Source organism: Homo sapiens, chromosome 15 (assembly GCF_000001405.40).
Source record: "Homo sapiens chromosome 15, GRCh38.p14 Primary Assembly".
Taxonomy (NCBI): domain Eukaryota; kingdom Metazoa; phylum Chordata; class Mammalia; order Primates; family Hominidae; genus Homo; species Homo sapiens.
The window spans coordinates 22,022,014-22,035,287 of record NC_000015.10 but is presented as its reverse complement, the minus strand read 5'-3'; the positions used below and the strand labels follow the sequence as shown (position 1 = coordinate 22,035,287).

At 36.3% G+C, this 13,274-nt stretch overlaps 1 long non-coding RNA gene and 1 pseudogene across 2 annotated transcripts in view; one reads left to right on the top strand and one right to left on the bottom strand.

The window, feature by feature from the left end:
* OR4M2-OT1 (OR4M2 overlapping transcript 1) overlaps positions 1-13,274 on the bottom strand; it is a 105,539-nt gene that overhangs the window by 60,331 nt on the left and 31,934 nt on the right. For both annotated transcript variants that reach the window (NR_110480.2, NR_110481.2), the window contains one exon: positions 4,268-4,362. This is a non-coding gene — a long non-coding RNA (OR4M2 overlapping transcript 1). The remainder of the gene's footprint in view (positions 1-4,267; positions 4,363-13,274) is intronic.
* On the top strand, positions 3,458-4,386 carry OR11K1P (olfactory receptor family 11 subfamily K member 1 pseudogene; annotated as a pseudogene).

The window sequence follows — 13,274 nt, the reverse complement described above, 5'->3', positions numbered from 1 at the left end:
TACAAAATCAGCATACAAAAATCAGCAGCACTTTTATGTGGTAATAATCAACTGTCTGAAAAGAATTCAAGATAACAATCTTATTTACAATAGCTCCAAAATAAAAAAATATAATTCTTAGGAATTAATTTAACCAAGGATGTGAAAGATACCTATAATGAAGCCATAAAACACTTATGAAAAAAATTTGAAGACAGAAATAAATGGAAAGATAATCCTGCATTCGTGGATTCAAATAATTAATATTGTTAAAATGTTCACACTACCCAAAACAAGCTATGGATTTATCAAAATAACAATGACATCCTTCAGAGAAATAGAAAAAACAATCCTAAAATACGTATGGAATCTACAAAAGACCTGGAATAGCCAAAGCAGTCTTGACCCAAAAGAACAAAGTTGGAGGCATCATACTACCTGACCTCAAAGTATACTGTAAAGCTATAGTAACCAAAACAGCATGATACTGGCATAAAATCAGATGCATAAACCAATGGAATAGAATACAGAGCCCAGAAATAAATCCACAGGTGATACACAGTCACCTAATATTTTGACGAAGCTGCCAAGCACACACAATGGGGAAAGGACAGTCTTTTCAATAAATGGTATTCGGAAAACTGGGTATCTATATGCAGAAGAACGAACTTATACCCTTACTTCATACCATATACAAAAAATCAACAAAAAATAGTTTAAACACTAAAACATGAGACCTAAAGCTGTAAAACTACACAACATTGATGTAGGCAAAAGCTAAGGCAAGAAAAACAAAAATAGACAAATGAGGTTACATCAAAATAAAAAGCTTCTGCTCAAAAGAAATAACAGAACCAAAAAATGACCTACAGAATAAGAGAAAATTTTTGCAAATTATACATGATAAGGGGTTAATATTCAAAATATATAAGGAACTCAAGCAACTCAATAGCAAAAAACAACACTACCACCAAATAATTCAATTTAAAAGTGGGCAAAAAACCTGACTAGATATTTTTTAAAATATGACGTGCAAATGACCAAAAAGCATATGAAAAAATCCTCAGCATCACTGATCATCAGGTAAATGCAGATCAAAACCACAATGAGATAGCACCTCAGCCCAGTCAGAATGTTCATGATCAGACAAAAGATGGTAATAGTCAGTAAGAATGCAGAGAAAAGGGAACGTTTATACACTGTTGGTGGTAATGTAAATTTGTATAGTCATTATGAAAAACAATATGGAGGTTCCTCAAAAAATTAAAAATATATATAGTATATGTTTGAGTATCCAGTAGGCATTCAGTAAATATCTGTGGAATAACTAAATGTCAATCAAATTTCTTGTGCTCTACATAAAATTCAACTCAAATATCTCTAATAACTCTGCAGGTACAAATATTTGATGACCAGAGAATGATTTTTCTTCAAAATAGATCTAGAGAGTATTATGGTAAAGCTAACCACTGTAGCTAAAATGACAATCCCTTTTACTACTTAATTATTCCTCAGGAAGTTTTGACAATACATGAACACGAAAGAAGAAAGAAAAGATAAGATCTGCTTCTACATTTTCACTATTCTTTAGGGGACAGTAAGAACTGGCTTTTGATTGTGAAAATTCAAAATGTTATCCTCTTTTAAACAAACACTATCAAAATATCCCAAGAGAGACAGAGCTCCAAGTCCCAAAAGGCTATAGTGCAAGTAAATAGATATATATAATACACTCACTTGAGCTTGCATTTTGACCATTAATATATGCTTTGAAGGTGGGGAAAATCTTTTAGGGTTTACTTTTTGCAACCCATGAGAGATAACAAACAGGATCATGCAATTTCTTGGAAGTTCTTCACATGTCTTTGGCTCTGGGGAATAATATTTTGTCTCCTGTCCCTGACCTTCTCAGCATTCACTCAAAGAGCGAATGGGAAGTATATAACATGTGAGTCACCCAGTTTTTTTTGCAAAAATCATAGAAAATGTTTTCTTCTTGTCTTTGAGAAAACTAAAAATATATCTCAGAATGAAAAGCTGGCAAAGAATGAAGCTGAAAAATATAAGTTTTTCTTCTTGTTTCCCTGAAATCTGGAAAATATTTTCCAATTATGGTTCATATCCCTTTAAAATATGAATAGCCATTTATACAAAAAGAATAGTATTTCAAGTGAAGATGTATATTAACTGATGAATTGCTGGAGAAGGGTATATTTTGGCAATTTTTGTTACTTGGTGAGCAGAAGAAATATGGCATATTTCTCTTTCCAGCAATATTTTCTTTCTTAAGCCCAAATACTGATTTTTCAGTTCCATTACATTAATAAGACTTGGTATTATACAAATTAGTTATTATTTAAGAAACAAAAATCTTCAGCTCATATGACTTTTTCTTGTTTTTGTTGTTATTTGGGCTAGAAGTTAACCGGAGGGTAATCAGGCGAAAAGTTTTATGTTTCGGATTTGCCTAGATAGGAAAGGCCTCAGAAAACAACCACAGTGAGATGCAAAATAACACCAAAGGTCAAAGGAAGAAAAGGAACATGTGGAAGAAAGCAGTGAATAAAAAACATGGAAACTTTTGTAATATAAACTTTATCTGCCTTTCTTATTTTCCTGCAGCTGACTTGACCATGGTTAACAAAAAACAAGCACATTGAACTTGGCCACAGTCACGCAGACCAGCTGTTCTCCCTAAGGTCAATGTCATAATAGGCATATGAAGTTCTTACATTCACCTGGAAGCATATAAAAATATTTAGTCAGAGCAATTTAAGAGCCAAAGTATGGCACGCTTCCTCACAGCATATAGCGTATCCAGCTGCCTAAAAATGAAAGAATGTATTTTTTATGCTAAACATTGGTACAGATACATGAAACAGCATAAAAGACCATATATTCTCTAATGACAGAGTTCTTTCTTATTACCACTTTAAAACACTACAAGTAACCGGGAGTAGCTGAAATTGAAAGTAAATATTAATTTGTGCCCTGGCATGGCACTATATTGAGAAAGAGTATTTTTAAATATCTTGGTTTTGTATTTTATTTTTATACCACTAATAATAATGAATCAGGTATTCATAGTACTGTTGAAAGAACTACATACCCAGATAAATACAGTATCAATAATGCAGGTAAACAGAAGAAAGAGTAGACCCATTGTATATAGGTAATTTATTGGAATCACAAAATTTGCATTCCTGGTTTCAAGTCTAGTGTTCTTAGCAAGAAAAAAAACTCTCCACAATTCATATTTTCCCTTCTATTGTTGTGATTTATTAAAATAAACATGTGTAGGAATTGAGTCATGAAAGTCACAGTTTTGTTGTTTAAACAAAAGTCTAATTGTTTACTACTTTATAATATACATGATGAAGAATTTTGGTTGTTTCCAAGAAGAAACAGCACACTCCCTTTCATGTTTCAGTTACCTCTGCCATCTCCATGTCTTCCAGACTAATGAATGTGTTCAGCATGGAAACTATCAATTTTGTTAGCTGCCTTATCCTCATGGGCTTTCCCTCAAGCCCAGAAATGCAGCTCCTCTACTTCGGTCTCTTCTCAGTAGCCTATACTCTCACCCCGATGGGAAATGCAGCCATTGTCTGTGCTGTGTGGTAGGACCAGCACCTTCACACTCCCATGTACACCCTCTTGGGAAATTTCTCTCTCCTGGAAATATGTTATGTTACTGCAACTAAACTGCTGGCCAACTTCCTCTCCACAAGCAAGTCCATCTCATTCATGAGTTGTTTTGCACAGTTCTACTTCTTCTCTTTGGGGTATGATGAGGGCTTCTTCCTTTGCATCACGGCCTTTGACAGGTATCTTGCCATCTGCCGCCCTCTACGTTATCCATGCATCATGACTAAACAAGTATGCACTGGCCTCATCATTTTTGCATGGTCATGTGTCTTTGTAATCTTCCTAACTCTGGTGATTCTCATTTCACAGCTATCCTACTGTGGCCCAAATATTATCAACCATTTTATTTGTGATCCCGTCCCATTGAAGATGCTGTCCTGTTCTGAAGACATCATCATCACCCAGCTCATTTACTCCACATTCAATTCTGTCTTCATAATTGGCACCTTTCTCTTTATCCTTTGTTCCTATGCTCTGGTGATTCTGGCTATAATACGGATGCCTTCAGAGGCTGGCAAACGAAAAGCTTTCTCCACTTGTGCCTCTCATTTGGCAGTTGTCACCTTATTTTATGGCTCTATCATGGTGATGTATGTTAGTCCTGGATCAGCACACCCAGTAAAAATGAAAAAATCATTACCTTGTTCTTTTCTGTGATAACACCACTCTGTAATCCTCTAATATATAGTCTCAGGAACAAAGAGATGAAAGATTATCTGAGGAAAATCTTCAGGACTGGAAAAGATGTTAATAAAATATAAATAAGAGAATTTTCATTTATCAAATGTAACTTTATTATACATGAATATTTGTCTACAAATTTATTGTTTTATTTAAGAACTGCTATAATAATGAGCCATTAACATCTTAAACACCACTCACCACAATCTGCATTACTGTGGTCTTATTTAAGAATGTTTCAACAGTGAATTAGATTTTCTGTTGAAGTGAATAATACGTATGTAAAATTCTATGTCTATGCTAATCAGAACGTGTATATGTAACCCAACTTTTTAAAAAGAATGCAGACGTCCTTTTTGTATTACTGAGCTAAAGCAATTGGTAACACATGTGACAGATATCATAGACTGCTCTCACAATTAACACTATAATCCAATCATTATCCACTAAGAGATACTGGCTGAAAAAGAGCCAAGTTTTAAGTAGTCCAGCTTGTCAAAATGTAGCAAGTGGTCTTTACATTATATAAATAGACTAATAGCCTTAGTTTGATATTCAGTGTTTTTTCAGAGAGTACACAACCAAGAATTAGGAATTTAAAGCAGATTCGTTACCTGGAATATAGTGCAGCAAAGACCTAAACAAAAAGGTGAGCATTACTCAGGATATAGCTTTCTTTGTTGTAAACCCAGTTTAAACACAGGATTTGATACCATAACTAATTTAGTATTAATACTGTGTGACTTATTTGAGTACTGCTGGACAGTACTAAAATAAAACTCTTAAAATCCATTTTATAAAATATTTGACTAATATCTTGCTTTAATTTTGACTTTTGTTTCGTTCTATGCCATTTTTTCAAATACAACTCTCAAAAACTTAATGAAAAGGAATCACAATATGAAATGTAGTTTACAGAATTTTAATTTGTAAGCCATCATAGCTATTTGCTCCACAAAATGAGGTGCAACTGCAATTAGTTTTTGTGTCACAAGGAAGCTGAGTTGAGAATATTTTCTGGGTTTGAAAGGCAGGATTTATATGAGTTCTGGGGAAAAGAGTGGTTGTTTTATTATACCTCACATGTGAAATGTAAATTAAATAGCTAAATACTTGCCTGAAAACCTCTTTTATATAGGAAGAAAATACAAACAATTTAGAACTTCATTCAAACTGACTTCAACGGTGGGATCTCTTTAAAGTGCTGATAAATTTAACACTGAGTTTCACCTGTCCATGCCAGTTTTGTTTATATTTCTTAATTATATGAGAAAAAATGATAGAAATTCTTAATAAAATATAATCTCAACTGTTATAAATGTGCACAGTGCCCATATTTGTAATTATCTTCAAATTGATCATTAACCAATCTTATCTTACCAATATTAAATTCTATCTCATATTGAGCTTGCTGGCACTTGATAGAATGAATTGAAAACTATTAGATACAGTAAAAAGCATTTCCATAAGATACAAACATGCCTTCATTGTGACAATATCTCTTCCTCAGTTCATACCTATGGCTTCATGGTATTTCACACAACCAGCTAATAAATGAAGAAAGAGCCTCAGGCTTGGATCACAAATGGATTGTCTGAATCTACACTTAGACAAGATAAAAACTGACTAATGCTGCAGCTTAACGCCTCTCCAGAGTAGCCATAGAATGTAGTGGTGGAGGAAATCCTCGTAAGCCAATGATTCGGTAGCAATATACTTAGTTGTCCACTTTGAATGTTGGGAGAAATAGCTTGCTATGCAAGATAAGGATATGTGTAGTATAATGATTGTTGTAAAAAAGTTTCACTAAGCAAACCCCCTCAAAATACAGAAAAATCAGATTTAATGAAATTTGAGGTGGAGGCCTATGTATGGGCCTATGAGAATAAGCACAAAGTATGCAGATCTTTGTTTCTCAACTCTGTGCCCATTAGAGAGTATCCTCCAGAGTGGAGGCACTCAATAGCTAAGTGAAAAGAATGAGTCATCTAAAAATGTCAGTCAGCTCTGATTTCATTCACCTCAGAGCTTATAAAAGGGAATATAAAGAAAGCTGTATAAATGGAAAATATGCACGTGCCAAAAAATACAGGCATTATCTTACCAAGGTTGGTGACAAATCACTGAGCCACTGAAGATGCAGCCTCGATGAGAAACCAATGTTAAGCCCTCAATATGGCACCAATCTTTGAGAAAACCAGCCAGCAATGGGTGGCAAATTGATTACATCAAATTCCTTTTACTTTGGAGGGTGCCAAGTGACATGAAAGAGTATAGTCAACCTCTACTTCTTCATTTCATATTCACTCCCCAACCCCCTGTGATCTTGCTTTCTATCTCCTCTGCTCAACTAAAACTTCTTTTCATCATGTTTCTGTAGAGGATTAACAATAATCATCATATGGGTATTTTATCTTAGGTACAAGAAAGTATAGTAACTCAAATAGATTTTCCAATCTACCATTATTTTCATTAGTCAACATTATCTTAGCCAGAGAAGATGTGAACTCTACATTTTGTAATTCTACATTGTTTGAGTTTGAAAACCTTTGCTATAGCCTGGGAATAAGTTGTTTTTGGATCAGTTGCAGCCTCTTATGAACAAGATTAAAGATGAAAAAGTTGAAAAATGTGTATTACCCTATAATTGCAACTCAAAATCTAGCTTATTTTTCATGTTTCACATGAAAACAGATGTTTAACCTAGTAGTTCTCAACTTTAATATCCATATCAATCACCATCACGTATGGATCTTTTCAAAATGCAGATTCTCTGTGACATCAGGAAGATTGAAGAATAGGAGGTCCCAGTTTTCCCTACCCTTCATAGAATGTTCAATTAACAACTGTACACAGACAAAAACTCCTATGTGAACACTTCAAAACTCAAGATTAAGCCTGAGAAACCTGTGTGAACTAAATAACCAAACAAAATGCCACATGAGAAGTGTAAAAAGAATAGCCTCACTCTGACCACATCACCTCTCCCTTTCTCCCAAGTCAGCACAACACCACTTAGAATTTTTCTAGGCCCACAGTTTCTACAGTAGGAAAAGAGAACTAGAGGTGGACATTCACGTTCCCTGTGTTCCAAGATACCTCCCCCAGGAAGCCAACTCTGGTCTCACCTTGCAAGGAGCATAGGGGTAATAGCATGGCTAGACTACCTGTGGTCAGGTAGAAACAAAGCAGGAAGGCAAAGCTCATAGTGACAAACATGCAGATCTTGGTGGTAGGTCTATGTAACCACCAGCAGTGGTATGTGATTAGGGGCATTAGCGAACAGTATAACAAACCAACAAAGTCAAGCTGGTTGCCCCGGGAAATAGGAAGTTCTACCTGGCTTGAATCCCTAGACAATCAGCCTCCATGCCAGCCCCAGATCCTACCACAAAGCCTTGTCCAGAGGGGGAGATGACCACAGCATATTTTGGTAAAGTACAAGGGCTAGACCTGCCCCACTCAGAAGCCCAAACAGTGGTTTGGCTTAGTCTCAAAACCCACAACAGGGACCCAGCCAGGCAGGGAGATGCATACCACAGCCCATTATTAGCACAGTGTAGGGTCTAGAAATGCCTTACCTGGGGACTCTAACAGTGGTTCAACTCAGCCTCAAAATCATCCCCAAAGCCCACTCAGAGATGGAGATACTTGCCGCAGTGCATTTTGGCAAAGTGAAAGGGCTATATGCACCCCAACAAGGAATCCAAACAGTGGTTTGGCTCAAATCTCAAAGCCCACCCCAAGGTCCTACCCAGTCAGGAAGGCAAACATCAAATGTGCATTCCCACCAAGTGTAGTAGCTGTTCTCTCCATCCTGAGCAGTGTCCCCACTTAACTTTATGAGTAAGCCTGCAACCCCATACAACTCCAGAACTCAAATAGTGGTACCATCCAGCCAGGAAATACATCCTGTGGCCCGGCCCAGTCAGAGACAATCACCATCCGAGCAAGCAATTTTGTCTGATTGCATAGCTCATTTAGTGGTCATACCAAAAATCAGAGCCCAGCCAGTAGTCCCAACTGAACTCAGAGCAAAGACAAAAGCTGAGCCATCCGGAGAACCTGAAAGCAGAAAGCAAGCTCTACCTTCCCAGGGTTGGTACCAGTTGGCCAATCTAGAATGAAAGGCTAGACTAAATAATGAAAGTCTATCCCTGCCAACTAATACCTATAAAAAGAGGTAGCTACCTCCTCAAATGAACAGACAGCAGTGCAAGAACAAAAGGATTGTGAAGAATCGAGGAATGATGACACCTCCAAAATAAACTAATAAAACTCTTAACAATGGACCCTAAAGGAACGGAGATTTGCAAAATGACTGACAAAGAATTCTAAAAAGTCCAGGAGCTGGTTTTTTGAAAGGATCAACAAAATTGATAGACTGCTAGCAAGACCAATAAAGAAAAAAAGAGAGAAGAATCAAATAGACGCAATAAAAAATGATAAAGGGGATATCACCACCGATCCCACAGAAATACAAACTACCATCAGAGATTACTACAAACACCTCTATGCAAATAAACTAGAAAATCTAGAAGAAATGGATAAATTCCTCGACACATACACTCTCCCAAGACTAAAACAGGAAGAAGTTGAATCTTTGAATAGACCAATAACAGGAGCTGAAATTGTGGCAATAAGCAATAGCTTACCAACCAAAAAGAGTCCAGGACCAGATGGATTCACAGCCGAATTCTACCAGAGGTACAAGGAGGAACTGGTACCATTCCTACTGAAACTATTCCAATCAATAGAAAAAGAGGGAATCCTCCCTAACTCATTTTATGAGGCCAGCATCATCCTGATACCAAAGCCAGGCAGAGACACAACCAAAAAAGAGAATTTTAGACCAATATCCTTGATGAACATTGATGCAAAAATCCTCAATAAAATACTGGCAAACCGAATCCAGCAGCACATCAAAAAGCTTATCCACCATGATCAAGTGGGCTTCATCCCTGGGATGCAAGGCTGGTTCAGTATACGCAAATCAATAAATGTAATCCAGCATATAAACAGAACCAAAGACAAAAACCACATGATTATCTCAACAGATGCAGAAAAGGCCTTTGACAAAATTCAACAACCTTCATGCTAAAAACTCTCAATAAATTAGGTATTGATGGGACGTATCTCAAAATAGTAAGAGCTATCTATGACAAGCCCACAGCCAATATCATACTGAATGGGCAAAAACTGGAAGCATTCCCTTTGACAACTGGCACAAGACAGGGATGCCCTGTCTCACCACTCCTATTCAACATAGTGTTGGAAGTTCTGGCCAGGGCAATTAGGCAGGAGAAGGAAATAAAGGGTATTCAATTAGGAAAAGAGGAAGTCAAATTGTCCCTGCTTGCAGACGACATGATTGTATATCTAGAAAACCCCATTGTCTCAGCCCAAAATCTCCTTAAGCTGACAAGCAACTTCAGCAAAGTCTCAGGAAACAAAATGAATGTACAAAAATCACAAGCATTCTTATACACCAATAACAGACAGAGAGCCAAATCATGAGTGAACTCCCATTCACAATTGCTTCAAAGAGAATAAAATACCTAGGAATCCACCTACAAGGGACATGAAGGACCTCTTCAAGGAGAACTACAAATCACTGCTCAATGAAATAAAGAGGATACAAACAAATGGAATAACATTCCATGCTCATGGGTAGGAAGAATCAATATTGTGAAAATGGCCATACTGCCCAAGGTAATTTATAGATTCAATGCTATCCCCATCAAGCTACCAATGACTTTCTTCACAGAATTGGAAAAAACTACTTTAAAGTTCATATGTAACCAAGAAGAGCCCGCATCGCCAAGTCGATCCTAAGCCAAAAGAACAAAGCTGGAGGCATCACACTACCTGACTTCAAACTATACTACAAGGCTACAGTAACCAAAACAGCATGGTACTGGTACCAAAACAGAGATATAGATCAATGGAACAGAACAGAGCCCTCAGAAATAATGCCGCATATCTACAACTATCTGATCTTTGACAAACCTGACAAAAACAAGCAATGGGGAAAGGATTCCCTATTTAATAAATGGTGCTGGGAAAACTGGCTAGCCATATGTAAAAAGCTGAAACTGGATCCCTTCCTTACACCTTATACAAAAATCAATTCAAGATGGATTAAAGACTTACATGTTAGACCTAAAACCATAAAAACCCTAGAAGAAAACCTAGGCATTACCATTCAGGACATAGGCATGGGCAAGGACTTCATGTCTAAAACACCAAAAGCAATGGCAACAAAAGCCAAAATTGACAAATGGGATCTAATTAAACTAAAGAGCTTCTGCTCAGCAAAAGAAACTACCATCAGAGTCAACAGGCTACCCACAAAATGGGAGAAAATTTTCGCAACCTACTCATCTGACAAAGGGCTAATATCCAGAATCTACAATGAACTCAAACAAATTTACAAGAAAAAAACAAACAACCCCATCGAAATTGGGCAAAGGACATGAACAGACACTTCTCAAAAGAAGACATTTATGCAGCCAAAAAACACATGAAAAAATGCTCACCATCACTGGCCATCAGAGAAATGCAAATCAAAACCACAATGAGATATCATCTCACACCAGTTAGAATGGCGATCATTAAAAAGTCAGGAAACAACAGGTGCTGGAGAGGATGTGGAGAAACGAACACTTTTACACTGTTGGTGGGACTGTAAACTAGTTCAACCATTGTGGAAGTCAGTGTGGCGATTCCTCAGGGATCTAGAACTAGAAATACCATTTGACCCAGCCATCCCATTACTGGGTATATACCCAAAGGACTATAAATCATGTTACTATAAAGACACATGCACAAGTACGTTTATTGCGGCACTATTCACAATAGCAAAGACTTGGAACCAACCCAAATGTCCAACAATGATAGACTGGATTAAGAAAATGTGGCACATATACACCATGGAATACTATGCAGCCATAAAAAATGATGAGTTCATGTCCTTTGTAGGGACATGGATGAAATTGGAAACCATCATTCTCAGTAAACTATCACAAGAACAAAACACCAAACAGCACATATTCTCACTCATAGGTGGGAACTGAACAATGAGAACATATGGACACAGGAAGGGAACATCACACTCTAGGTACTGTCGTGGGGTGGGGGGAGGGGGGAGGGACAGCACTGGGAGATATACCTAATGCTAGATGACGAGTTAGTGGGTGCAGCGCACCAGCATGGCACATGTACACATATGTAACTAACCTGCACATTGTGCACATGTACTCTAAAACTTAAAGTATAATAAAAAAAATTTAGTGAACTACAATAATATAAGGGTAGATAATTTAAAAAATTGAAAAATAATAAACAATATAACATGTTTGACAAATAGGAATAATAAAAATATAGAAATCTTAAAGAATAAAATGACTGAAATGAAAATGCAATAGAAAGCTCTAAGAACAGGCTCAATCAAGCAGAAGGGAAACAATCAATAAGCTAGAGACAAAACATTTAAAATAATTCAGTCAGAAGAGAAAAAATTAAAAAGATTGAAAAAGAATAAAGACAGACTCTGGATATGAAGGGAAACTATTAAGACCTAATATTCATCTAATAGGAGTTTTCAGAAAGAAAAGAAATAGAAAAGAGACCAGAAAGCATATCTGAAGAAGAAATTCTAAAAAACTACCAAATCTGGAGAAAGTTGCTAACATCTAAACACAGCAAATGCAGAGTTATCCAAACAAGTTTAAGCCAAATAGGAGTTATCCAAGATGTACAATAATTCAAATACCAAAAATTAAAGAAAAGGAAAACATTTTGAAAACAGCAAGTAATTAGAAGCATATCACATAGAAGGGAATATCAAAATAGCTGTCACTGGATTTCTCAACAAAATCTCAGGAGACCAGGAGAGAGTAGGATAATGTATTCAAAGTGCTGAAGGGAAAAAACAAGGCCAACAAGTCTACTTAACCCAGCAAAGTTGTCCTTGGCAAATGAGAGAAAAGCAAAAACTTTTCCAGACAAACAAAAGCTATGAGAGTTCATCACCACTAAATATGTCTTAAGAGAATTACTAAAGGAAGTTCTTTGAGCTGAATTAAAAGGCTGCTAATTAAAAATATAAAACATATGAGAACACAAATGCAATGGGATAAGAAATACAAAGTCATATCCAGAATATTCTAAGACTGTAATGATGATGTGTAAAGCAATTTTTTCCTATAGTACAATGGTTAAAAGACAAATCTATTAAAACACATAGAGCAAAAATAGTCAATGGATACACATAAGAAAATGATGTATATTTTGACATCAAAATCGTAAAATGTGGGAGAGGAGAAATAAAGTGTACGGCTGTTGTTGGCAAATAAAGCATACAGTTGTGATTGTTGTCAGCTTAGAATAGTATATCATATAAAAATAAAGACTAAAAACATCACCCAACACTACACAACTACATGGAAATTAAGTGACTTGCTCCTGAATGACTTCTGGGTGAACAATGAAATTAAGGCAGAAATCAAAAAAGTCTTTGAAATAACTGAAAACAGAGACACTATATGCCAAGATCTCTGGGATGCAGCAAAAGCAGTGTTAAGAGAAAAGTTTATAGCACCAAACAATTACCGCAGAAAGTTAGATATACCTCAAATTAATGACCTAGCATCCAACAGAATAGCTAGAAAAGCTAAAACAAAGCTAGCAGAAAAAAAAATAACTAAAACCAGAGCAGACCTGATTGAAATACACCAGAAAATTAATACCAAGAATCAATGAAACCAAAAGTTGATTCCTTAAAAGGATAAACAAGATTGATGGGCTGCCAGCTACAGTAACAGAGAGAGAGCGAGAGCAAGAGGAAGAGAGAGAGAAGATTCAAATAATCACATTAAGAAATGACAAAGGTGACATTACAGATGATCCGATAAATACAGAATATCCTCCAAGACTATTAGGAACACCTCTATGAACACAAACTA